Source organism: Homo sapiens, chromosome 7 (genome assembly GCF_000001405.40).
Source record: "Homo sapiens chromosome 7, GRCh38.p14 Primary Assembly".
Lineage (NCBI taxonomy): Eukaryota > Metazoa > Chordata > Mammalia > Primates > Hominidae > Homo > Homo sapiens.
Genome location: NC_000007.14, coordinates 143,236,818 through 143,263,351, shown reverse-complemented (window position 1 = coordinate 143,263,351; position 26,534 = coordinate 143,236,818). Strand labels below are relative to the sequence as shown.

The 26,534-nt window shown below is 39.3% G+C and overlaps 2 long non-coding RNA genes across 4 annotated transcripts in view, besides 2 other annotated features; one reads left to right on the top strand and one right to left on the bottom strand.

Annotated features, from left to right (window-relative positions):
• The window catches only part of TMEM139-AS1 (TMEM139 antisense RNA 1), a 31,036-nt gene extending 22,983 nt beyond the window's left edge, over window positions 1-8,053 (top strand). Inside the window, exon 3 of the long non-coding RNA NR_133932.1 lies at window positions 7,931-8,053. This is a non-coding gene — a long non-coding RNA (TMEM139 antisense RNA 1). The remainder of the gene's footprint in view (window positions 1-7,930) is intronic.
• Window positions 24-93: a silencer, noted in NCBI's record as "silent region_18719". NCBI's record gives its function as "represses an Ori minimal core promoter by ATAC-STARR-seq in GM12878 lymphoblastoid cells {active_cell/tissue: GM12878}" and the evidence as "EXISTENCE:reporter gene assay evidence [ECO:0000049][PMID:35858748]".
• LOC105375546 (uncharacterized) lies at window positions 145-25,777 on the bottom strand. 3 transcript variants are annotated; one of them, XR_007060569.1, is made up of 3 exons: window positions 25,695-25,777; window positions 19,076-19,235; window positions 145-204 (listed from the first exon to the last, which is right to left on the bottom strand). It is a non-coding gene; the product is annotated as an uncharacterized LOC105375546 (long non-coding RNA). The 3 variants fall into 3 exon arrangements; XR_928072.4 differs by lacking the exon at window positions 25,695-25,777 and adding an exon at window positions 20,049-20,097 and having other exon boundaries at window positions 19,076-19,256; XR_007060568.1 differs by lacking the exon at window positions 25,695-25,777 and adding an exon at window positions 20,049-20,097.
• Window positions 16,275-16,451: a silencer, noted in NCBI's record as "fragment chr7:142943994-142944170 (GRCh37/hg19 assembly coordinates)". NCBI's record gives its function as "represses an EF-1alpha promoter that drives an FKBP-Casp9 reporter gene in an ReSE screen in phorbol 12-myristate 13-acetate-treated (for megakaryocytic differentiation) K562 erythroleukemia cells {active_cell/tissue: K562(+PMA)}" and the evidence as "EXISTENCE:reporter gene assay evidence [ECO:0000049][PMID:32094911]".
• Window positions 25,778-26,534: the final 757 nt, after the last annotated feature.

The window sequence follows — 26,534 nt, the reverse complement described above, 5'->3', positions numbered from 1 at the left end:
GGCCAGCCTACGGCCCCCAGCCAGGGGCGGGGTGGGTAGGGACCCCTTGGGGAGCGCGCAGGTGTGGACAAGGGGCGCTGCAATCGCCTTTGCAAAAATTTTAACAGTGAGAAAATTACGAAGGTGAAACAGATCTGAACTCACCAACTCCATCGTGCCTTTAACCTCCAAACTGCCCTTGGTCATTCCTGAGCATGGGACGAGCTAATATAGGGAGAAATTTAGTTTATAGTTTAAATGATAATAGCCCTTCCCCAAACTAAACCAGTTTTATAAAACTAATAAAAGTCCACAAGTTTAGGATTATGAGAGGGGCCTGAATTCTGCTAAGATGTAGGCATTAACAATTACCAGACATTGTTCCAGAGGTCACAAGCTCTGCAACTTCCCCAATTATTCCTGTAAATAACCACTTTTGTAGAACCTAAGACTGGCCTTTGAAGATACCTTCTCAGACTTTTCCATTTCTAATGACAGGATGACTCCACCTGGACCAGTGACTCCTCTGTGGCCCGCATCCAAATGCAACTCGGTGCACTGAGGACGGTTTTCCACACCCCTGTGATTGCATCCCCAACCAATTAGCAGCACCCATTCTCTAGCCCCTTGCCCATCAAACTATCATTAAAAAACTCTAGCCGGCGGGCATGGTGGCTCACGCCTGTAATCCCAGCACTTTGGGAGGCTGAGGTGGGTGGATCACTTGAGGTCAGGAGTTCAAGACCACTCTGGCCCACATGGTGAAACCCTGTCTCTACTAAAAATGCAAAAATTAGCCGGGCATGGTGGCATGTGCCTGTAATCCCAGTTACTCGGGGGGCTGAGTCAGGAGAATTGCTTGAATCCGGGAGGCAGAGGTTGCAGTGAGCCGAGATCATGCCACTGCACTCCAGCCTGGGTGACATAGCAAGACTCCCTCTCAAAAGAAAAACAAAAACAAAAACAAAAAAACCCACAAAGTCCCCTAGCCTCTGCCTCCGAATTTTGGGAGGCTAATTTGAGTAATAATAAAACTCTGGTCTCCTGTTTAGCTGGCTCTATGTGTATTAAACTCTTTCTCTATTGCAATTCCCTTGTCTTGATAAATTAGCCCCATCTGGGTAATGGGCAAGATGAACCCATTGGGCTGGTGTCAGGGTGACTGTCCTGCTCTGCAGTGGAGTCTTGTGGGAAGGGGGTAGTTTGAGATGCCTGCAGTGCCTTTCACTTAGCTGTGCCCCTTGGGTGAGCCACTTGACCTCTCTGAACCTATTTCCTCATCCTGCATACACATGGGGAATATCTAATGATAACACCTGCCTTATGACGAGTTGTGAGGAATGAGGTACTCCAATAACTGCTAGCTCTTATTATTGTTGCTTGGCAGTTGCATGAATCTCCTAAACTGGGGCAGAATAAGAAGTTCTCAGAGTACACATTTTCTTGTGTTACCTTTGTCAGAGATTTGCACAATGTCTGGGACACATTTGACCATCGATACATATATTTTGAGTGAGTGAAAAAAAAGAGGGACTGGTAGAAGATGGAGAGGCCTCACTATAGATAATTTTGGTGATAATGGAAACGATTGGCCCTATTCGTTTTCACAAATATGTGAGTCATATTGTCTTATATTGGGATTACATTTACTGCAAAGAAACAGAATTTTAAAATAATTCCATTTAACTTTGTTAAAATTATTTTTAACATTACTAATTTAATAAATTGGAAAACATATAAAGATTCCACTTTTCATTTGTATCAATAAGGAAAACAACTCCAGGCTATCAGAATACAGAGATACGAGGTAAACCCCTACATGGAGAAGAGCATGCAAAATGGAATGAAAAATGATGTTATCATTACCTACTTGCAGAGTAAACTAATTGTTCAACAACCACTGAAACTAAACTTTTTTTTTTTTTGAGATGGAGTCTTGTTCTGTTGCCCAGGCTGGAGTGCAGTAGCACAATTGCAGCTCACTGCAACCTCTGCCTCCTGGGTTCAAGCAATTCTCTCTGCCTCAGCCTCCCAAGTAGCTGGGATTACAGGTGCCCACCACCACGCCCAGCTAATTTTTTGTGTGTTTTTGGTAGAGATGGGCTTTCACTATGTTGGCCAGCCTGGTCTTGAACTCCTGACCTCAGGTGATCCACCCATTTTGGCCTTCCAAAGTGCTGGGATTACAAATGTGAGCCACCACAGCCCACCTTGTTTTTTTTGAGACATGATCTCACTCTCGCTCAGACTGAAGTGCAGTGGTTCAATTTTGGCTCACTGCAACCTCTGCCCCCCAAGCTCAAGCAATTCTCCCACCTTGGCCTCCTGAGTAGCAGGGACTACAGGTGTATGTCACCACACCCAGCTAATTTTTGTTTTTTGTCGAGGTGGGGTTTCACCATGCTTCCCAGTCTGGTCTTGAATTCCTGGGCTCAAGTGATCCTCCCACCTCGGCCTCCCAAACTGCTGGGATTACAGGCATGAGCCACCATGCCCAGCTACATTTTTGTTTTTCTCCAGTAATCATAATTTTAAAGTGTCCAAGAGCTAATTCAGCGTGGTAATTTAAGGTTTCATTTCAAAGGTAGATCAATCACTTATTTTAAAAAGCTTTTTATATTTGGAAATGTTTTAGATTTATAGAAGACTTGTAAAGATAGTACAAGGTTTCTGAATACCCCTCATCCAGCTTTACCTAATGTGAAAATCTTACATAAGTATGATAATGATAAAAACCAATACATTAACATTGGTACATTACTTTTTTTTTTTTTTTTGAGCTGGAGTCTCACTCTGTTACCCAGGCCGGAGTGCAGTGGCGCAATCTTGGCTCACTGCGACCTCCGGCTCCCAGGTTCAAGCGATTCTTCTGCCTCAGTCTCCCAAGTAGCTGGGACTACAGGCGTGTGCCACCACGCTCAGCTAATTTTTTGTATTTTTTAGTAGAGACGGGGTTTCACCATATTGGACAGGCTGGTTTCCAACTCCTGATCTCGTGATCCCCCTGCCTCAGCCTCCCAAAGTGCTGGCATGAGCCACTGTGCCCAGCCTGGTACGTTACTATTAACTGAACTGCAGGTTTTGCTCAGATTTCACCAGTTTTTTCATTAGTGTTCTTTTTCTGTTCCAGGATCCAGTCCAGCATACATACAGAATTTTGTTGTCATGTCTCTTTATTCTTCCCATATCTATGAGAGTTTCTTGGCCTTTTCTAGTGTTTCATGACTTTGACACTTGTGAAGAGTATTGATCAGCTATTTTGTGGCATGTCCCTTCATTTGGGTTTGTCTGATATTTCCTCAGAGTAAGACTAAGGTTGTGGACTTTTGGGAAGATTACCACAGAGGTAAGGTGCCCTTCTTGAATCATGTCATGAGGTACAGGGATATCAACATGACTCATCACTGGTGGTGTTTACCTTGGTCACCTGGTTAAGGCGGAGCAACTGGAAAATTTCTGCACTGTAAAGTCACCATTTTTCCCTATCCAAACCCTAGTTTTTGGAAGGGAGTCAGTAAGTGCAGCCCATCCTGGGAGTGAGGGTTGAGTAGATTAAGTCCATCCACTGGAGGGAAGAATATTAAAGAAGTTGTGGATATACGTTAACACTACCATGGTAACTAATAAATATTTGGGGGAGATACTTTGAGGCTATGCAAATATCCAGTTGCTCCCTAAACTGTCACCCATCAGTTTTATTATTCATCAGTGGATCTTGCCTGCAGCAGTTGTTACTGTGGTGTTCTAATGGTGATTCTCTATTTCCTTAGTTTTTTTCATTTATTAATTGGAATTCTTTTGACAGGAGAGTTGTCCCTTCTTTCTATTTATTTATTTATTCAGTCAGTTATTTATATCAGTATGGACTCATGTATATTTACTTTAAGAATCACAGAATAATAAAACATTGATCTGAGTCCTTACAGTCTATCTCCACATACTATTACTGTTGTTATTATTATTATTTTTAGGTTGGGCCCTGTTGTGGATAAAATGGAGTAGAGACAACAAAAAGAAAAATATATTCACTTCTATGGGCTATCATCTTCCTATTGCTGAGAGGGGTATTTAGTGTTAAAAGAAAAACCTCAGACAATTTAAATTTAATGGAGTTTATTTGAGTAAAGAATGATTCTTGAATCAGGCAGTACTCAGAACCAGAAGAGGTTCCGAGAGCTCTGCAACTGTAAGCAATGAGTATTTATAAGCAGAACAGGAAGGTAAAGTACATAAATAGTTTGATTTGTTGCAGCTAAGTGTTTTGCTTGATTTAGACATGAGCCAGTCCGTTGGCTGCTTGCACTTAGCTGAAGCTTGGCTGCTTGTGATTGGCAAAGACCTGGTTATCTGTTATAAAAATGAAACTCCTAAGTTAAGTTTCAGTTTGTTTACATACTAAGTTAGGTTGCATTTTGTTTCATAGGAATTCAAAGCATGGAGACTGTCTCAGGTCAATAGCCTCCTGCTTACTTAATTTTACTCTAGATACTGATTAGAGCTATTGAAACAAGAAATAGTGGTATAAGTAAGTTATTTGAAGTGGGAAAAGCACTAAGTAGAGGAACAAAACATGATATAATTATCAAACATTGGAGGAGGCAGAGGAGAGGTGGTGTATGCGATCCAAATTCTCATCTTTCGTAGATGAGCCAATGGTATTATCTACATTTGAAAGCTCAGTAAATAGCGCTTTAATCATGTCATTTGGAATTAAATAATTGATACTGGAAATGCTTTAAGTTGCCTTTTCAAATAAATAAAAAATTGACTATTCAATAAATGATATTGGGACAACTGAGAGGTTTTTTTTTTTGTTTTTGTTTGTTTGTTTGTTTTTGTTTTTTTGTGAGGAGTCTCGCTCTGTCACCCAGTCTGGAGTGCAGTGGCACGATCTCGGCTCACTGCAACCTCCACCTCCTGGGTTCAAGCGATGCTCCTGCCTTAGCCTCCTGAGTAGCTGGGATTACAGGCGTGTGCCACCATGCCCAGCTAATTTTTGTATTTTTTAGTAAAGACAGGGTTTCACCATGGTAGTCAGGTTGGTCTCGAACTCCTGACCTCTTGCTCCGCCTGCCTTGGACCCCCAAAATGCTGGGATTACAGGTGTGAGCCACTGCGCCTGGCCCAAAAATGTATTTAGATCCATACCTCACAACTTACACATGGAACACCTCTAAATGGATCAAATATCTAAATGTTATAAAGAGGAAGCCAATAAAGTGCCTCAAGAACTTATGGAGAAACTTTTAAAACAGCTGAGAATAGAAATAGCCTTGCTAACTGTAATACCAATGCAGAAACCTTAAAAGATCGATGCATTTAATTATATCAAATTTTTAAAAATCTGCTTGGCAAAATCCAATGAGTCAAAAACATAACTGGGAAAAATATCTGTGCTTATTTCATAGTCAAAAAGCTAATTTTAATTATTCTACTGTAGAAAGAGCTAAAAATCAATACATTAAAAAAAACAGAAGCCCAGTGGAAAAAATGGGAAGATGAAGAGAACATACATGAAAATGGACATATAGATGGCTTGCAAATACTAAACATTTGAAGACACTTTGTATACTTATGATAATTGTCAGTTAAAACTACCCTGTGATATGCTTTTGTCTATCGAGTTGACAAAACTCATAAAGTTTGATGACTCAGTGTTGGTACGGAGTCATGGAAAACCATTCTTTTATTTAACCGGTGGGAGTGTAAATTGGTACAGCGTCTGCAGAGGGCAGTTTAATGATGTCTTCTGTTTTACAGATGTACCCTTTGATCCAGCAGTTTTAAGAATTTAGATATAAACATGGTTGCCACCTGCGACATGATATACTGTGAAGTTATGAATTATTATTTTTAATTGACAAATTATAATTATGTAAATTTATGGGGTACAAGGTGATGTTTTGATGTAGGTATAAATGTATAAGTCAAGCTAATTAACATATCCACCACCTCACTTATTATTTTTTGTGATGAGACATTTGAAAATTACTCTGAGCAATTTTGAAATATACATTATTATTAACTATAGTCACCATGCTGAGCAATAGATATCAAAAACATATCCCTTTTTTTTTTCTAATAGAAACCTTGTACTCTTTCTACAGTATCTTCTCATTTCCCCTCCTGCAGTGAGTTCTATTTTATGTTGCCTTGGCATCGATTTTGAATACAAGTTTAACTTTCTCACAACAGAAGCAGAACTCAGTCACCCTTGACAGGGTTTCTAGTTCTACGTCACATCCAAATGGCTCAAGCCGGTGGCCAGAGATAAGAATTCAGAGACATCTCTCCGGCCTAGAAGACTGGGCTCTCTCCTTTCCCACTGCTTCCTTTTAAATGGGCCATTCAGGTATTTTCCAGAGAATTTAAAGTACCCCCAATCCTAGTCCTCATATATACAGCTAGTTGCCATGGGCTTCTCTCTCTCTGCCTAACTCTTCCTTCCTGCCTGTCATGACCCAGGGATGGAGGATTGCCCTCTTCATTCATTACATCTCCTTGCCCAATATCTGTAAGCAAAAATTGCTGAACTTGTCTCCTATTTTGGTGGTGCATTGAATTTGTGCCTCCCCTCTGAAGGACTAGGAGATGCCCCAAGCTGGGTTTTCCCTGAGATGCTGAGGAGAACACAAGGTCAGGCACCCAGCACCAGAGTGATAGCCAGGCAGGCATAAACTGGGCATGGGTCAGACAAGGGTCACAAGAGTGTCTGTCAGTATAAAAGAGTGTTCTGTGTGACGGATCCCCTGAATCCAGGCTGAAAACTAGGCATTAGTCCACCCCCTGGTTAAAAAAAGTATCCTGTGAAAGGACATGGTAAACATCCCTATCCAGTTCCCCTTTATTTCCTGTTAGGGGCAGTGTTGCTAGCCACTCTGGTATTGGAACCCCAGTTTGGCTGGGGCTCTCAAAACACCTCCATGCTGTTTTCTATAACAGCTGTACTAATTGACATTCCCACCAATAGTGTACAAGGGTCCCCTCTTCTCCACATCCGCGCCAACACTTGTTTTTCATCTTTTTGATAATAGCTATTCTAACAATGTGAGGTACTGTCTCATTGTGGTTTTAATTTGCATTTCTCTAATAATCAATGATGTTGAGCATTTATTTATTTATTTTTATTGTTATTTTTATTTCTTTGAGACAGAGTCTTGCTCTTTCGCCAGGCTGGAGTGCAGTGGTGCGATCTCAGCTCACTGCAACCTCCGCCTCCTGGATTCAAGCAATTCTCCTGCCTCAGCCTCCTGAGTAGCTGGGACTGCAGGCACATGCCACCATGCCCAGCTAATTTTCATATTTTTAGTAGAGATGGGGTTTCACCATCCTGGCCAGGATGGCCTCTATCTCTTGATCCCGTGATCCGCCCGCCTCGGCCTCCCAAAGTGCTGGGATTACAGGTGTGAGCCACCACACCCGACCATATTTATTTTATACATATCTGTTGGCCATTTGTGTGTCTTCTTTTGAGAAATATCTACTCAGGTTCTTTGCCCAGTTTTAAATCATGTTATTTGTTTTCCTGCTTTTGAGTTGTGTGAGTTCCTTATATAGCCTGAATATTAACCCCTTATCAGATGTGTGGTTTGCAAGTATTTCCTCCCACGCTGTGAGTTGTCTCTTCTCTCTGTTAATTGTTTTCTTTGCTGTTCGAAAGCTATTTAGTTTGATGCAATCCCATTTATCTATTTTTGCTTGTGTTGCCTGTGCTTTTGGGGTCATATCCAAAAAATCATTGCCCAGACTGATGTTGTGGAGGTTTTTTCTCTATGTTTTCTTCTAGTAGTTTTACAGTTTCAGGCCCTATATTTAAGTCTTTAATATATTTTGTATTGATTTTTGTATATGGTGTAAGATAATAATCCAATTTTATTTTTCTGCTTGTGAATATCCAGTGTTCCAACACCATCTTTTGAAGAGCTTATCTTTTCTCCCTTGTTTGTTCTAGGCACCTTAAGCAAAAAGGAAGTTAGCCACACATGGTGGCTCATGACTGTAGTCTCAGCTACATGGGAGGCAAGGCGAGAGGATCTCTTGAGCCCAGGAGTTCGAGGCCAGCCTAGGCAATGTAGTAAGACCCTGTTCTTAAATTTTTTTAAAAAGCAATTGTCTATAAATGTGTGTGTTTATTTCTGAGCTCTGAATCTTGCTGTGTTGGTCCATGTGTCTGTTTTTATATTATGCTCTTTTGATTACTATAGCTTTCTAGTATATTTTGATGTCAAGAAGTGTGATACCTCCAGTTTTGTTCTTTTTGCTCAAGATTGTTTTACTATCTGGGTATGTTTTAATGGTTCCATACAAATTTAGGGATTTTTTTTTCTATTTCTGTGAAAAATGACACTGGAATTTTGATAGAGATTGCATTGAATTTGTAAATCGCTTTAGGTAGTATGGACATTTTAACGACATTAATTCTTTCATGGGACAACTTTCCATTTATTTGTGTCATTTTCAATTTCTTTTATTAGTGTTTTACAGTTTTCAGTACACAGATGTTTTACCTCATTTAACCAATTTTTAAAAATTTACACCTAAGTTTTTTTTGTTTGTTTTTGTTGTTGCTACTATAAATGGGATTGTTTTCTTAATTTCTTTTTCAGATGGTTCACTGTTGGTGTACAAGAATGCTAGTGATTTTCGTATATTAATTTTGTATCCTGCAACTTTATTGATATTGCTTATCAGTTCTAACAATTTTTTTGGTGGAATCTCTATAGAGTTTTCTATATATAAGATTATATCATCCACAGAGACAATTTTACTTCTCCCTTTCATGTTAGGATCCCCTTTATTTCTGTCTCTTGGCTAATTGCTCTGGCTAGGACTTCCAGTACTATGTTGAAAAAAAGTGGTGAGAGTGGGCATTATGGTCTTATTCCTGATGTCAGAGGAAAAGCTTTCAACTTTTCACCTTGAGTATGATGTTAGCTGTGAGCTTGTCATATATGGCCTTTATTGTGTTGTGGTATATTCCTTCCATACCTGTTGAGAGTTTTTATCGTGAAGAATATTGAATTTTGTCAAATGATTTCTACTTCTATTGAGATGATCATATGGTTTTTGTCCTTCATTTTGTTAATGTGGTGTATTATGTTTACTGATTTGCATATGTTGAACCATCCTTGCATCCCTGGGATAAATCACACTTGCTTACGGTAAATGATCTTTTTAGTGTGCTGTTGAATTAAGTTTATAGTTTTTTGTTGAGGGTTTTTACACCTATGTTTATCAGGGATATTGGCCTACAATTTTCTTTTCTTGTACTGTCCTTGTCTGGCTTTAGTATGAGGGTAATGCTGGCTTGTAAAATGGGTATGGAAGTGTTCCCTTTACTTCAATTTTTTTTGGAAGAGTTTAAAAAGAATTGTTATTTGATATGGTTTGGATGTTTGTCTCCTCCAAAATCTCACCTTAAAATGTGATCCCTGGTGTTGGAGGTGGTGCCCAGTGGGAGATGTTGGTTCATGAAGGCAGATGTCTCATGAATAGGGTGGCTTAGTGCTATCTCCTTGGTGATGAGTGAATTCTTGCTGTGTGAGTCCACACAAGAGCAGATTGTTTAAAAGGACCTGGCATCTTGCTTGCTCCCTCTCTCGCCATGTGACGTGCTGACTCCCCTTTGCCTTCTACCATGATTGTAAGCTTCCTGAGACCCTACCAGAAACAGATGCTGACATTGTGCTTTCTGTACAGACTGTAGAACTGTGAGCCAAATAAACCACTTTTCTTCATAAATTACCCAGTCTTAGGTATTCCTTAATAGCAACATGAATGGACTAATACAGTATTAGTTTTTTATATGTTTGCTAGAATTCAGCTGTGAAGCCATCTGGTCCTGGGCTTTTTTTGATGAAAGACTTTCTATTACCAACTCAAACATCTTACTCGTTCTTAGTATACTGAGATTTTCTATTTATTCATGATTCAGTCTTAGTAGGTTGCATATGTCTAGAATTAATCCATTTTTTTCTGTTATCCTATTTGTTAGAATATAATTGTTCTTAGTAGTTTCTTATGATCCTTTGTATTCTGTACTATTTGTTATGTTTCCTCTTTCATTTCTGATTTTATTTGAGTAGTCTCTTTTTTCCCTAGTCTGGCTAAGGTTTTTTTCACTTTTGTTTATATTTTCAAAAAGACCCAACTGTTTTGTTTATTTTATTTTATCTTAACTTATTTTATTTTTTAGAGACAGGGTCTTGCTCTGTCACTCAGGCTGGAGTGCAATGGTACAATCTTAGATAACTGCAGTCTCGACCTCCTGGGCCCAAGTGATCCTCCCGCCTCAGCCTCCCAAGTTGTTAGGGCTGTAGGCACTTATGGCCATGCCTGGCTAATTTTTGTATTTTTTTTTTTTTTTTTTTGGTAGAGTTGGAGTTTTGCCATGTTGCCCAGGTTGGTCTCAGACTCCTGCACTCAGGCAATCTTCCTGCCTCGGCCTCCCAAAGTGCTGGGGTTACAGGTGTGAGCCACCATGCCTGGCCAATTTTGTTGATTTTATCTATTGTTTTTCTAATTACTATTTTATTTATTTCCACTCTGCTGTTTGTTATTTCCTTTTTTCTGCTTACTTTGGGCTTAGTTTGTTCCTTTTCTAGTTTGTTAGGTATAATATTAGATCGCTCATTTGAGCTCTTTCTTCCTTTTTGATATAGGTGTTTATTGCTATAAAGTTTCCTCTTAGAACTGCTTTTGCCACATCCCATGAGTTTTGATATGTTGTGCTTCAATTTTATTTGTCTCAGAATATTTTTCAATTTCCTTTTGATTTCTTCTTTGATCTAATGATTGTTCAGAGTGTGCTCTTTAGTTTTCATATATGTGTGAATTTTTGAAGATTTCTCCTGTTACTGATTTCTAGTATCATACTACTGTAATCATAAAATATACTTGTTATGATTTTAATCCTCTTGAATTTGTTAAGCCTCATTTTGTGGCTATATAAGTCAGTTCTCACACTGCTATAAAGAAATACCTAAGACTGGGTAATTTATAAAGAAAAGAGGTTTAATTGGCTCCCAGTTCCACAGGCTGTATAGGAAGCATGGCAGGAAACTTAAAATCATGGCAGAAGGTGAAGGGGAAGCAGGCACATCTTATGTGGCTAGAGCAGGAGGAAGAGAGAAGGGGGAGGTACTAAACACTTCTAAACAACCAGATCTCATGATAACTCACTACCACAAGAACAGCTCCAGGGGGAAATCCACCACCGTGATCCAATCACCTCCCACCAGACCCCACCTCCGACACTGGGGATTATTACAATTTGACATGAGATTTGGGCAGGGACACAGACCCAAACCATATCAGTGGCCTAACATTTAGAGCCATCTTAGATAATGTTCTGTGTGCACTTGAGAAGAATGTATATTTTGTTGCTGTTGGATGAAATGTTTTGTATATGTGCATTAGTTCCATTTAGCCTAACTTGTAATTCAAAGCCAATGTTATCTTACTGATTTTCTGTCTAGATGATCTGTCCATTGTTCAAAATGGAGTGTTGAAGTTTCCTACTATTATTATATTGCAGTCTATCTTTCCCTTCAGATTATTTATTTATTTATTTGAGATAGCGTCTTGTTTTGTCACCCAGGCTGGAGTGCAATGGTGTGATCTTGGCTCACTGCAGCCTCGACCTTCTGGGCTCAAATGATCTTCCCACCTCCTGAGTAGCTGGGCCTACAGATGTGCACTGCCATGCCTGGCTAATTTTGTTTATGTTTTGTAGAGATGAGGTCTCACTATGTTGTCCAGGCTAGTTTCAAACTCCTGGGCTCAAGGAATCCTCCTGCCTCAGCCTCCCAAAGTGTTGGAATTATAGACGTGAGCCACCACACCCAGCCTGCATTCAGATCATTTAATAGTTGCTTTTTATATTTAGATGTTCTAATGTTGGGAGCATATGTATTTACACTTGTTTTGTCCTCTTCATGAATTGAACCCCCTATTATTGTATAATGACCTTCTTTGTCTTTTTTTTTTTTTTTTTTTTTTTACAGTTTTTGACTTAGTCTATTAGGTCTGCTATCAGTATAGCTACTACTGCTCTCTTTTGGCTTCCATTTGCATGGAATATCTTTTTTCATCCCTTTGCTTTCAGTCTTTGTGTGTTTTTACTAATAATGTGAGCCTCTTGTAGGCTACATTTTTTTTTAAATCCACTCAGTTACTTTCTTTTGATTGGATAATTTAATTCATTTTTATTTAAGGTAATTATTTAATAGGTGTGGACTTCCTACTGCTATGTTGTAACTTGTTTTCTTTTGTCATTTTTCTTTTTTCATGCCTTGCTATTTTTTTTTGTGGTTTGGTGGTTTCCTGTAGTGATATGCTTCAAATTATTTCTTTTTATGTTTTGTGCAACTACTATAGGTTTTTGTTTTTGCTTTGTAGTTACCATGAGGCTTACATGAAACATCTTATACTTATAATAGGCTATTTTAAACAGATAACAACTTAACTCTATTCACATACAAAAATTCTACACTTTTACCCCAACCACCTCTTATAATATTGATATAAAATTTTACGTCTTTCTGTAATTTGTATCCCTTAACGATTTATTGCAGCTATAGTTGTTTTTAATACTTTTATCTTTTAACCCTCATAGTAGAGATAAAATTGCTTTATACACCACCATTAGAGTAGTAGATTATCCTGAATATGCCCATTGAGTTTTATATTTTCATATGCTTTGTTATTAATTAAATACCTTTTATTTCAGCTTAAAGAACTCTTTTTTAGCAATTCCTGCATGATTACTAGGCAGGACTAGTAATGATGAACACCCTTAAATTTTGTTTGTCTGGTGAAGTTTTTATTCTTCCTTATTTCAGAGGGACTTCTTCTGGATATATTCTTGTTTGGCACTGTTTTCCTTCAGCACTTTGAGTATATTATCCCACTCTGTCCTTATCTGCAGGGTTTTTGCTGAGACATCCACTGCTAGTCACATTGAGATTCCTTAAGATGTGATATTTCCTTATCTCTTTCTGCTTTCAGAGTTCTTTCTGTCTTTAATTTTGACAGTTTGATTATGATATGTCTTGTTGAACACCTCTTTGAGTTGAATTTTGTTGGAGACCTCTGAGCTCCCTGTACCTGGGTATTGACATCTTTCCCTAGATTTGGGAAGTTTTCAACCATTTTTTAAAAAGTGCTTTCTGGCACTTTCTCTCTTTCTCCACTTTCTGCCACTTCTATTTTTACTTATTTATTTATTTGAGGCAAGATCTCTCTCTGTTATCCAGGCTGGAGTGCAGTGACATGATCGTAGCTCACCATAACCTCGAACACCTTGGCTCAAGCTCAGCTTCTGGAATAGCTGGGACTACAGATGTGTGCCACCATGCCTGGCTAATTTTATTTTTGTAGAGATGGAGATCTTGCTGTGTTGCCCAGGCTGGTTTTGAACTCCTTGCCTCAAGCGATCCTCCCAGTGCCACTTTTATTATGTAAATTTAGTTATCTTGATGATATCCTATAATTCCCATAGGCTTTCTGTCTTCATTTTATTCTCTTTTCTTTCTTCCCTGAGTAATTTCAAATGTACCATCTTCAACCTCACTGATTCCTTCTTCTGCTTGATTGAGTCTGCCATTGAAGAGTTTTATTGAATTTTTCAGCTCATTTATTATATTCTTTTTCTCTAAAATTTCTATTTTTATTGTTTTTATTTCTTTGCCAAACTTTTTGTTTTGTTTGTGCATTGTATTTTAAATTTTATTTAATTTTCTATTCATGTTTTCTTGTAGTTCCCTGAGCTTCTTGAAGAGGATTTTTTTCTGAAGTTTTTATCAGTCATCTAGGGTCTGTTTCCTAAATGAGTGGTACTGCTATTTGAAATTTTATAGTTCTTCATTTTTTTAGGGTCCATTATTGGAGCATTATTAATTTCTTTGGTGGTGTCATATTTCTCTGTTTTTTTGTAATTCTGTGTCTTTGTGTCAGTGTCTGCACATTTGAGGAATCACCTACCTTGTCTGGTTTTTGCTGGTGTTCTGCACTGGGGATGGAGCTTCGCTATTTAGCCTGGCCTGTGTTTCTGAACGGGTCAGCTGGTAGTGACCCTATGCAGGCAGACCTTGCTCTTGGGTTCTTTAGTTGGGCTGAGCTGCTGCCTAAGCTCAAAGGTCAGCTGGAGCTGCTGGCTGTACTCTGTACTCTAGTAAGAGCACTGGCTGGGCTTTGTGTTTAGGTAGAACTTGTGGCTAGGCTCTGCAATCATGTCTGATTGAGCAGATTTGCAGGCTCTTTTTCATAGGTTAGTGGTATGCTGTTTGGAATCTGGCTGGACAGGGCTACAGGCTGGGCCTTAGCCTTAGGGCTGGATGAGTCTCTGAGGTCACTGCTTGCCCACTTGGGATGGGCAAAGCCAGAGGCTATGCTCTACAGATATGCACAGTTTCAAGCTTTCCTCCCTCCCCAGGCCTGGAAGAACCTCAGGTTGGGCTGTGAAGCAGGGAAGGGTCATTGCTTGACCACAAGAGTTGGGTGCAGCCAAATGCTCTGCTCTGCAAATATGTGGGGGCATGAACTTCCCTTCCTATGAAGTTATAAATTACAACACTTTTTGTAATAGCAACAGATTGGAAAGCACCTAATGTTCATTGTTATGGGAGTAATTCAATACATCAATATTTAGAATATCTTGCATCTTTAAAAAGAATTTGGAAGCTCTTTTCTATTACTATTTAATGATATTCCATATATTAATAAGTGAAAAAAGCAAGATGTAAAATGATGCATATTATTATCTTAAAAGTTGGAAATATTCTGTAAATGTGTGAAATACACATGCATGTATATACTTCCTGATATTGCTTAATGGAGTGACAAAGAACTGACAAAATTGTTGCTTTTGAGGAGGAAACATAGGTAAGTGAGTACCAGGGTATGAGGGAGAGTTTTTGTTGTATATGACATTTAAAACTCATTAAATTTTTGACCCATGTAAGTAAATTATCTACCCAGAAAGAAGCACAGATACGAAGGAAAGAAGGAGGGAGGAATGGGTGTAGGGAAAGATGAAGGGAGGAAGGAGGGAAAAAAAGCAATGAAGAAAGGAAGAAAGTTGCCCTTAGGAAATTATACTGGCAGAAGTGGGAGGGAATTAGAAGGAGGCTGTTATTATTTATGTGATTTTCTTTTACCATTTGTATATTTTACCTGGATTTAAGGAAAATGTCAATTATGAAGGCCATATGGCAACATCTGTGACAGAGTGTTAAGATACAATATTTGCCAAGATACCACTGAGTACTGAGTATTTATATTACTGGTTCTCAGCACTTGACATTTTCCTAAGGATTTATCAATGGTTATATGAAACTCTGTGTGCTAGCTTTCTCACTTAGGAAAACATACCAAATGTAAGAGAGTGAAATTGACATTATTATAATTCTAATCTTGGGTGTGCTATGCTATATTAAAAGAGATAAACCTTAGCAAACTGGGGTACTTTAAATATGATTAATAAGTTTAGGTAGAACATCTCATGATTCATCGGGACATATCAGTGTGACAATATTGAAGCTGAGAACAACTAATATATACTGTAATTATATCCTTATAAAATATGTATTCAGATGGACAAAAACAAAAGAAAATGAAAAAATAAAAATAGCTGCATTACATATCGTGTAATTTCTCCTAATTTCTCAGACTCTAATGTCTTTTCCTTCCTTCCTTCCTTCCTTCCTCCCTCCCTCTTCCTCCCTCCCTCTCCCTCCCTCCTTCCTCCTTCTTCTTTTCTCTCTCTTTCTTTTTCTTTCTTTCTTTCTTTCTTTCTTTTTCTTTCTTTCTTTCTTTTTCTTTCTTTCCTTCCTTCTTTCCTTCCTTCTTTCTTTCTTCAGCTTTATTGAAGTTTAACTGACACATAATAAACTGCACATATTTAAAGTATATGCCTTGGTAAGTTTTGACATGTGTATATCCCTGTTAACTTGCCATCACAATCAAGATAATGAACATTTATGTCACCCTCCTTCCAAATTTTCTTACGACCCTTTGCAATCCCTTCCTCCATTTCTCCCTGCCCTCCATCCCCACTGATCTGGTGTCTGTCATGATAGATTATCTTATAAATATATATTTTTGTACATTAAAAGTTTTTGTGCTCCAATATAAACTTGAGAAGCCAGAGTCATTGTTTCACATTGTCACATTTGGGAGGCAGCCTCCTGAAGATTACAGTGGAGGAGCTTTATCAGGGATTGATTTTATGATCAACACCTGTGGAGAGGAAGTGATGGGATGGGAAGAGAAGGGAAGAAAATGAGAGAGTCAGGCAGAGGGAAAGGTTGGCTGTGGTGCTGTGATGCTGTCTCAGCAAAGGACCCTGTCAGTTCTACAAGGAATTCTGAGATTGTACTGAGTTCCGGTGAGTTGGCTGGGACTTTACATCCCCTTATGAGCTAGTCTCAGGTTATGCGCTGCCCTGGGAAGGGGCCCTGACCTTGGCTGAGGTGACTCTTCAGCTCAGGGCTGACAGCTGAAGGCTGCTGGCAGCACCTCACCTGCTTGGGTTTATGTCTAAGGGAGCCTGTGCAGAACATCGGTGTCCCCAGTGCAATAATCCTGGTATTTCTCCCATTCTGAGCCGTTCTTTGAAAACACAGTTGTTAGAGAAACAAAGTTGAAATGTGGGAAGGGAAGGGATATGGAAATATTTTCAGAGACTCTTCTTTTTTTAAAAGAATTTGAAAGGATAGTGAGAACAATCCTTAAATTCATGTCAGAAAAGAGGATTCATTTGTTCATTAATTCACACGTTTATTCATTTCACTAGTGCAGGATTTCTTAACCTCAGCATATTGACACATTGGAATGGATAATTATTGGTTGTGGGGGCTGTTGTGTTTATTGTAAAAATGTTTTTGTAACATTTCTGGCCTCTACCCACTGGATGCCACTAGGTGCCCAGGTGTGACCACCAAATATTATGCTAAATGAAAGAAGATGGATGCAAAGTACTATGTGTTATACAATTTCATTTGCATAACATTTTCAGAATAGACAGGAAGCAAATCAGTGGTTTCTCCTAAGGCTGGCAGTGAGAGTGGGGATTGACTGAACATTGGCATGAGGGAACTTTTAAGGTGACAAAATTGCCAAGTGTTTCCTGGTGGCATCAAAATCACCCTGGTTGCAAACCTGCACTGGTGTCTATTGAGTGTCTCCTCTGCCTCATGCACTGTTCTGAGTGCTTGGGGTTATAAGCACTCCATCTGATGTGGGAGTCAAAAGGCAAAACATCAATTGGCAAATTCAATACAAAGTGTGTTTTGTGTGTGCGTGTGTGTGTGTGTGTTGAGGGAAGGAGTGTTAAGGATGTTGAGAAAGAATCAGGGAATGCTTCTCAGAGGAAGTAACCCTAAATGAAGACTTGAACTGTAGGTAGGAAGTAAGTAGACCGTGGATAGCACTGTAGTCAGGGTTGCAATTATAGAATACAATAGACTGCATAGCTTATAAACAGCAGACATTTATTTCTGGTAGGTCTGGAGGCTGGGAAGTCCAAGATCAAGGAGCTGGCAGATATGGTGTCTGATGAGGGCTCACTTTCTGGCTCACAAATGGCCATCTCCTCCCTGTGTCCTCATGTGGTAGAAAGGACAGGGAACTCTCTGGGTCCCTTTCATAAGGCCACCCACCCGATTTATGAGGGCTCCACCCTCATGACCTAATCATTTTCCAAAGCCCCCACTTCCTAATACCATCACCTTGGGGGTTAGGATTCTAACCTATGAGTTTTGTGGGGACACACACATTCAGCCAATAGCAGAGAGGAAGAGCAGATAGATATTCCATACAGAGCCAGCAACATTATGGAAAAGCCCATTGTCTGGAGTCTTGAGGAACTGAGAGAAATTCTCTTTAGCTGAAGGATTTGAAGGAGGGCAATGGTGAGAGATGAGGCTGGAGCTACGGCAGGTAGAGGCAAGGCAAAGTCATGTGACAAGATTTACAATCTCTCCTGGAATAACCTCAAGCTTAGTGTGATCTTAAAAACGTATTTTATAGAAAAGAAGTAATTTCATTGCCTAAGTACTCAGAATTGCTTCCTGTTGGTGTAGAAAAACATACAGGAACTGTTAGTAATTTACTCTTGCGATGAATCACACAGCCACATTTATTTTTATTGTTTGGCAAACACACATGTAGCTTACTACATCAGTCACTCTTCTAAGTACTTTATAAATATTAACTAATTTAATCCTTTTAACAACCCTACAAGGTAAGTACCATTTTTTAGCAACTTGATATATTTGCCATAAAGATCACCCATTGTAAGTGTACCATTCAATAGTTTTTAGTATATTTATACAGTTGTGCAACCATCACTACAATTCAGCCTTAGAATGTTTTCATCATCTCAAAGTCTTTTCTTTTTTTCTTTGGTGCTTGCTACTTTGTAGTCAATCCTGGTTGAGAACCTGCACTCAATCCCACTCCCACCCCCTAAGAAACCACGGATCTTCTTTTTGTCTTTATAGATTTGTCCTTTCTGGAAATTTCATATAAATGGAATCATGCAATACGTAGTTTTTTTTTTTGCATCTGACTTTTTTCTACTTAGCATAATGTTCTTGAAGTTCATCTATGCTGTAGCATGTATTTATAGTTTTAAACATTTTATTGCTGAATAGTATTCCATTGTATGGATGTAACACATTGTTGATGGTCATTTGGATTGTTTCAGGTTGTTGTCCATTATGAATAGTGCTGCTGTAAATATTTGCATTCAAGTCTTGGCATAGACATGTGTGTTCTTTTGGATAGATACCTAGGAGTGGAATTACTAGGTCTAATGGTAAGTCTATGTTTAACTTTTTAAGAAATGGACAAACTGTTCTTCAAAGTGGCTATTTAGGTAGATACTATCATCATCATTTCCCTTTTATTGAAGGTGAAACTTCTACAGTGTCATAAAGCCTGTGAATGGTGGCAGTAGGAATTGAACTTATGCCATTCACCACGAACCTCTGTGACCTTAACACTAAACTTTGATGGCTACTTCCTTTGTTTAAACTGTCATCAGTTTCAAAAAAAGATAATAAATAAATAAAGCTTGCCTTCTTTCCCTTACCTGATCTTGGTTTCAAAACTGCTAGAGAATACGTTGTCTAGTTCTGTCCATGGAATTATGCCTGCGGGAATTTCCGTGATGTTCTTTTCCTTCTTTGCTTCTAAGATGATTCCCTAGGCAAATCTCAGGCCACTCAAGTATTTTCATTTTCACGTCCTTTCTGTGAGAAACATGAACAAACCTAGGGAGTGTTTTGAAAATGAGATTTTTAAACTCTCCAGTGACAAAGTCCTCTTTCCTGGACCAATAACTACCTTCAAAATAACATTCTAGCTACTGACTTAGTCTGTGTGGCTGGTGGATTTCTTTTTAATACAGCAGCTGGTAGGCTACAAAGCACGTGTCAGTGACAATGCATGGGCTGCCTGTCAGGAGCTCCCGAGCCAATTGCTCAGAGGACCCTTCACCTCTGGCTGGCAATTGCTTCTTTCTGATGTTAAAGGTCACCACAGCAATCACCTACTACTGCTCTCAAGATTTGATGTGATCACAACACTCTCTGCATCTTCACTTTGCCAAGGATTACAAAAGAATGAGGCAGCCCACTGTCTAACATGTTCGGAGCAAACTAGTAAGGAGAGGCACTGTGGGGCTTTTAGGTTAACATACACATGATTGATGATATGCAGGAAGGATTGTTCTTGAAGAGATAGGAACTACCTAGAGCAAAGACTCAAGCATACTTAAGGCGACAGCAAGATTCCTCTGGGGTCTTTGAGTTCTGGTAATACATTCTTAGGGCCTGGATATTTTCTATCTAGGTGCTATTATTCTGGGAATGTAACTTGCCAAAAATCATGTAAACTAGTAAAAGGCAGAACTGCGATCTTAACCCAGCTTCCAAATCTTAAGCCCTAAACCATACTGCCTGCCAAGACTCCTATTCTCCCTAATTCCTTTGTGAGCTTCCAGGCTAAGTGTTCCACTTTTATATTCTCATGCCATCTGTGTTTTCTCTTATCATGGACCTTACCATATTACGTTGAAGTCATCAGTATCCTCCACCATGCTCTGTTTCTGCAGGGAGGAAAACGCATGTGTGTGTTTTTAACCTCGGATTCGGAGAGACTTGAGTTAATCATCAACTTTAATTTATAGCTCACTATTGTACACGAAGTCCCTCCTTCGTTTTTTTTTTTTTTTTTTGCTTTTGGATGGAGTCTCACTCTGTCGTCCAGGCTGGAGTACAATGGCGTGATCGCAGCTCACTGCAACCTCTGTCTCCCGGGTTTAAGCAATTCTCCTGCCTTCTACTCTCCTGAGTAGCTGGGATTACAGGCATCTGCCACCATGTCCAGCTAATTTTTGTATTTTTAGTAGAGACAGGGTTTCACCATGTTGGCCAGGCTGGTCTCGAACTCCTGACCTCAGGTGATCCGCCCGCCTGAGCCTCCCAAAGTGCTGGGATTACAGGCATGAGCCACCAGGCCCGGCCCCCACCTTCATTTTTTTTAAAAAAATCTAATTTTTCTCTTCACTCTTGATTCCCCATTCACATTATTATTGACAATAATAATAGGAATAACAGTGAACATTTACTGCCAGGCATTGTTTAAGCACTTTATATTAACTCAGTTATTCCTCACAGTAACCCCCATAGAGTCTTACTATTTCTATTTCCCATTTTTTTCAGACAAAGAAACGTTACAGAGAAGTTAAGAGACTTGCTCAAACGGACAGAGTAAGTGTGTGGGAGAGCCAGGATTTGAACCCAACTGGTCAGGCTCCATAAACCATACGGCTCTTTCAGACACATGCGCTGTTCCGGTTGATGAGGTCCTTGGACGTGAATATCACTTCCTACAACGTATAGTGTCATTTTGTGTGTGAGATGTTTTTCATAAACATAAATGGCATTGGGCCACACAGCTCTGCTTCTCATAGTTTTCACTCTAGACACGCCCTCTATGTCGCTGTTGGCACATCGAGTTCACTGCTTCTGACTGCGGCATAATATTCTATCCTGGCCACCCATCACACTTTACTGGTCCATTCTCCTTAATGAGGGCACCTTCAACTTGCTACCTCCACAAAAATGATGCAAGAAACATCTTTATTTATAGCCTTTCATGAACCTGTGCTAGAATTTCTCTTGGGAGTGTACTCAAGAGTGGTTCTCTGAGTCAAAGGATATGTGAATATTTTATTTCACCAAGTGTTGAAGGATTGCTCTCCACGTTCAAACGTACAATTTGACACTCCTGCCAGTAGCACCAGGGTTTTCCTTTCTTCACATCCTCTCCAACACTTGGTAATTTGTGGCTATTCTAATGCCTGCAAAATGGTACCCTGTTGTTGCTTTTAATTTACATATTTCTGGTTACAAGTAAGCATGAGCACCTCTTCTATGTGCTGACTATTTGGGTTTCCTCTGCCCATTCATGTTTGTGTGTTTGTATGTGCACCAATTATCCTTGCATAGTCCAGCTAGGGGTTTCTTGTAGATTTTAGATGTTGTCAATCTGTCTCTCACCTGTGCCTTTCGTTGAATGGAAGTCCAATCAATTTTTGCCTTATGATTTGAGCTTTTAGGACCTTGTTTAATTAGCCATTCTTTACCCTTTGCTCACAAAGTTATTCTATGTTTTCTTCCATTAGATTTATACCTTAACCTTCTGCATTTAGATTTCTTATCCACTTGGGTTTACCTGTGTAGGAAGTAAAAGGAAGGTATTCGGCTTTACTTTTCTCCAAATAGTAAGCCTCATATCTAATACCATCTAATAAATAATCTATCCTTTACCCACTTATTTGTGGTTCACTTTTATCATATCTCAAGTTCCCCTGGACAAATAAGTCTGTTTTTGTGCTCATTTTTTTGTTGTATTAGTCTACCTATAACTTAGTATGTCTTTAGATCTCATAGAGATATTCGTTATTCAAGAACCCTTATTCCTCTAAGTTTTACAGTAACTTGCTTGGTTCATCAAAAAATTAATATATTATTTCTGGAAAGATCTAGTAGATTTGTTGGTAGATAAATTCCTTGCTTCTTTATGACTTTTATTTACCTTTATATCTTTACTTCGTAGCATAGTATCTCACATGCTCAATAAATATTTATAGAACTGAACTATTGTTGAATTTATGATCTCTTTAGTGACTGGGAAGGAGAATAAATTATGTAATGATGGAAGTCAGATTTGAGGCCATCTTGTCTTCTTTTGAGTGAGAAAAGACAGAGGTGGAGAGAAAGGCCAGGGAATTGACTCCCTTCTGTAACAGGGACAACTGTGGCTTTGGTTTTAATTCTTACAATAACTCACTAAGATTAGCAAGTCCTGATTGAGAATAACTCCTGCATAGAGCTTTAGAAGTGGCTGCACGTGAGGGCCAGTAGCTGGATTCCCAGTGGAATTTCAAGGTCAAATATGTAGCTTAAACTAGGAGATGGCAGTAGAAAAAATGCTGTCAGTGAATTCATATAATCGAATTAGCAGTTTGTTGAATGTTAAGTTGCAAATAGCGCAGCGGAAAAGGTTTGTGCTGCAGAAATGAGGAGCCCGCCATCTAGTGGCTCTAAGTCTACATAGCACCACTGGAGCTCTAGTCCTGAGTAATAGGACACCCTTAGGGTACTTACTATAGGCTACCCACTATTCTAAGAATTTTACACATTACAACAGTAACACCGTGAAACATAGCTTATTATTACCCCCCCATTTTAAAGATGATGAAATTGAAACTTAGAGGAGTTAAGCAGTTTGCCAAAGTCATAGAGCTAATACTGTTTTGAAATCTGGACTGTGTGACTCGAGAATCAATATACTCAAACTATTTGCTATTATGACTGCAAGAAAAAGAGGGCGGTATGCTAGGATTGTCTCCTACCAGCTAGAGAGAGTGGATGGTGTGCATTCTTTCCAAAGCCACATTCAGTGACATCACACTGGTAGTTTCAATTCTGTCATGGTGGGAGTATTTACACTATGAAAACCAGAAAATTCTACACATCTGGGCTTTGTTTTTCTCCCCGCTCCACCTCCTAGAGAGAGCTGGTTTGCAGGGTGAGAAGGACTAAGAAATAAGAGACATACTCATAAGCTTTTTTTTTTTTTTTTTTTTGGAAAGCTGGAAAAGAGATTTGGAAAGTACTGAAAACCTGGTTTTTGTAAAAAATAAAATAAAGAGACCTTAAGACTTTTCTTCTGATATTTTGTACTAGATCAGAAATAGGTATTTTATGACTAATGTAGAACTTCCCAAAATGAAGAGAGACTTACCAAAGAGTATGCAGTTGCTCAACTGCTTTATGAGGAAAGAAAACAAAATGGTTACAGAGGCTCAGTTGCAAAGTGCATATTAAAAATGGCAAAGAAACAGATGAGTCAGAAAAAACAAGCAGAACTATTTTTTTAGAGGAACTGAAGCTAAATAAAACAGGACCTACTTAAAATTTCTTGAGATGGGCAAAATTGCATTGCCTATTTCAAGAAATTTTAAGTAGGTCCTGTTTTATTTATTCTGTATTTGATCTCTAAAATTCAGAGAACAAATACATCTATGCCAATTTGCAGGGGATCAAATCAGACACTGAGAATGGCCATGAAATTTAGGGGAAATGACACAAAATTGCTACAACTTCACTTCTTCCCCTTATCTAAATGCTTGGAGTGATACACACACACACACACACACACACACACACACATATTCTCTCTCTCTCTCTCAGTTGGGAGGAGACCTTTATTCTTGTGGACTACATTCATTAAACAACAGCTTGAAGAGATATTACAATATGTAAGTATGGTCACTAACAACCTACATTATGTTACGATGTGTAAGAAGAACACATCTGAGGTTTTTTTCTTCACATAATCTGTGGTAAAAAAGACATGTTAGGAATTCCAGCTTGTGGTCCTCTTCACCCCCACCCCACTTTTTTTTTGGACATGCCTCTATAGCCCCTCCTGAAGGAATAGGTGCAACAAATTATAATGTGGTCTCCTGGATATAATTTATGGATGAATCCCTAACTCAAGCAGTGCTATATTATACTCTGAGAATTTAAAGACACAGGAAACGTAGTATTGTATACTGGAGCTGCAAGATTGTTCAGTGTTGGGGCTATGGCAAACTGGAATTATAAGGGGCCATAGACTAATGAGCGTCCCTCCAGTGGAAGGCGGTTTGAAGAGAGGAGTCCAGAACAGATGTACAGAGAGATGCAGAGGTCAGAGCTATTTAGTGAGAAAATTGATGGAAAGAAGAGAGAAGGAAGGAGAGAAGAGAAATGAAAGAGGAGAAGAGAGAGGGAGACTCCCTCATGGTTTTTTAGTTTTCATGATGCTCAGTCATATTTCTTGCAAATGCCTGAATGGGGTTCCATGAGAGCCCTTAAATCATTTTAATAATTCTCTCTTTTACTTTTGCTTCTTTGAGTTGATTTTTATTTCTTGCATCCAAATGATACATGATTAAGACATCATCAAAGCAAATCAGAGTAGATAAGCACAGGAATCAGCAAACACCCAGCAGCTGCTGTTGTCCTCTGAGTCAGAACATTCCTGGAATGTACATTTCAGGAAAACATATATATATTTAAAATAACATTAGTTTCTTTCTTCTTGGTAATAAAGCCAATGCAAAGAGATGTCATCAAATGGTTGCTCAGAAGTCCTGGCACTTGCCTCTTCCACAAAGAAGGACCAAAACAATAAATAGATGATAATCACATGTTGAATAGAGCATCTAAGTGAGAACACTGAAATTCAGCAAGGAAGTGACAAAGACTCTCTCAAGCATAGAAACTCAACATGGCAGCATAGAGAGGCAAGTGAAGCAGCTGGCTGCGATTGGCTTAGAGCCAAGAAGGACTCACCATTTTGAGGAAAAGCTAAGCAAGAGATGCATAGTAGTTTATATTCTCATCACAGACACTTGCAGTTTTGACTACAGGAGAGCCAGGCCTAGTGTAGGGAGCTTCCTGGGGTCCATCTATCTACATTGTTCCAGAGAGGGCATTTACACTGGGTTTTACCCATGAGACTGAAACTGCCACAGCAGAGCACCATTTTGGAAGCAGAGTTACCAGTAGACTGCATCCAGAGAGGGCATTTACACTGGGTTTTATGCATGAGACCCAAACTACCACAGTACAGCACCATCTTGGAAGCAGAGTTACCGTCAGACTGCATCCTGGCCTGGGACCCAATAGGTCTTGCGTCTCCATAGCCCTTGGGCTCCACCAATATCCCCCAACATACACTCAGAAGGCTGCAATGTCACAACACCACCTGGACCCAGCAGTGCAACTGCATCCCTGCCACCCCAGCCCATGCAGCACCTTACACTCTTAGGAACAGGCATATCAAGCAGTCTAGCACACCAGGAAGGCCGTCTCAAAACACAGGGAGCCAAAGCATATGCTCTCTAGAAACTGAGGCCTACCTACCTGGGGCTGCCACTGTCACTGGTGGTCCCCAACCCCTCCAGCAGTAGAGGTGCTGTGTACCCACATGCACCACTCAGGGGCCCCAAAATCAGAATGCCTGGACCCACTGCTGCTACCACTAGTGCCTATGCATGGTGCCCAAGAGCCTGAGGATCAACCCACCCAGTGCCCACCACTACCACTGCCAGAAAACCTGCCCCTTCAAGTAGTGGGGCTGCCACATACCTGCATGTGCCTACCAGGGAACCAAAGACTGGCCTGCCCAATGTCCTCATTTCCAGCAAAATTTTTCCACAGCCTCCACAAACAACTACAGTCTAAGTAAATGAGGAACTGGTAGACACCAGTGATGTTGACTACAGCCAAATAAATCATATGGAAACTGCACTATTGCACTCACTCAGAAATAAAGCCAAAGCAATCTACCCAACTGAGACTACAGATAAATCCACAGGAAAAAATATTTCCTTATTAAAGCTATTTAATTAAATTAGAAGAAGTGACTGTTGTGCCAGATGCACAGATATCAACATAAGGACACAAGAAACATGAAAAAGCAAAGAAACATGATGCCTCCAAAGGAACACAATAATTCTCCAATAACAGACCCCACAGAAAAGGAAATCTATGAAATGTCCAAAAACGAATTCAAAATAATGATCTTTAGGAAACTCAGCAAGATACAAGAGAACACAAATAGGGAATACAAAGAAATAAGGAAACAATTAATGACCTGAATGAGAAATTTGAAAAGGAATAGCTATAATAAAAAAGCCAAATAGAAATTTCAAAACTGAAGAATTCAATGAATAAAATAAAAGTACTGTTGAGAGCTTCAGCAATAGACTAGATCAAGCAGAAGAATTTCTGAACTTGAAGACAAATATTTTGAAATAGCCCGGTCAGACAAAAAGATATAAAGTACAAAAAAAGAATAAAAGGAATGAAGAAAACCTACGTGACATATGGGACACCATTAAGTGAACAAATATTTGCATTTTGAGAGTTTCAGAAGACATGGGAAAAGGCACAGAAAATGTATTTAATAAAAGAATAGTTGAAAAC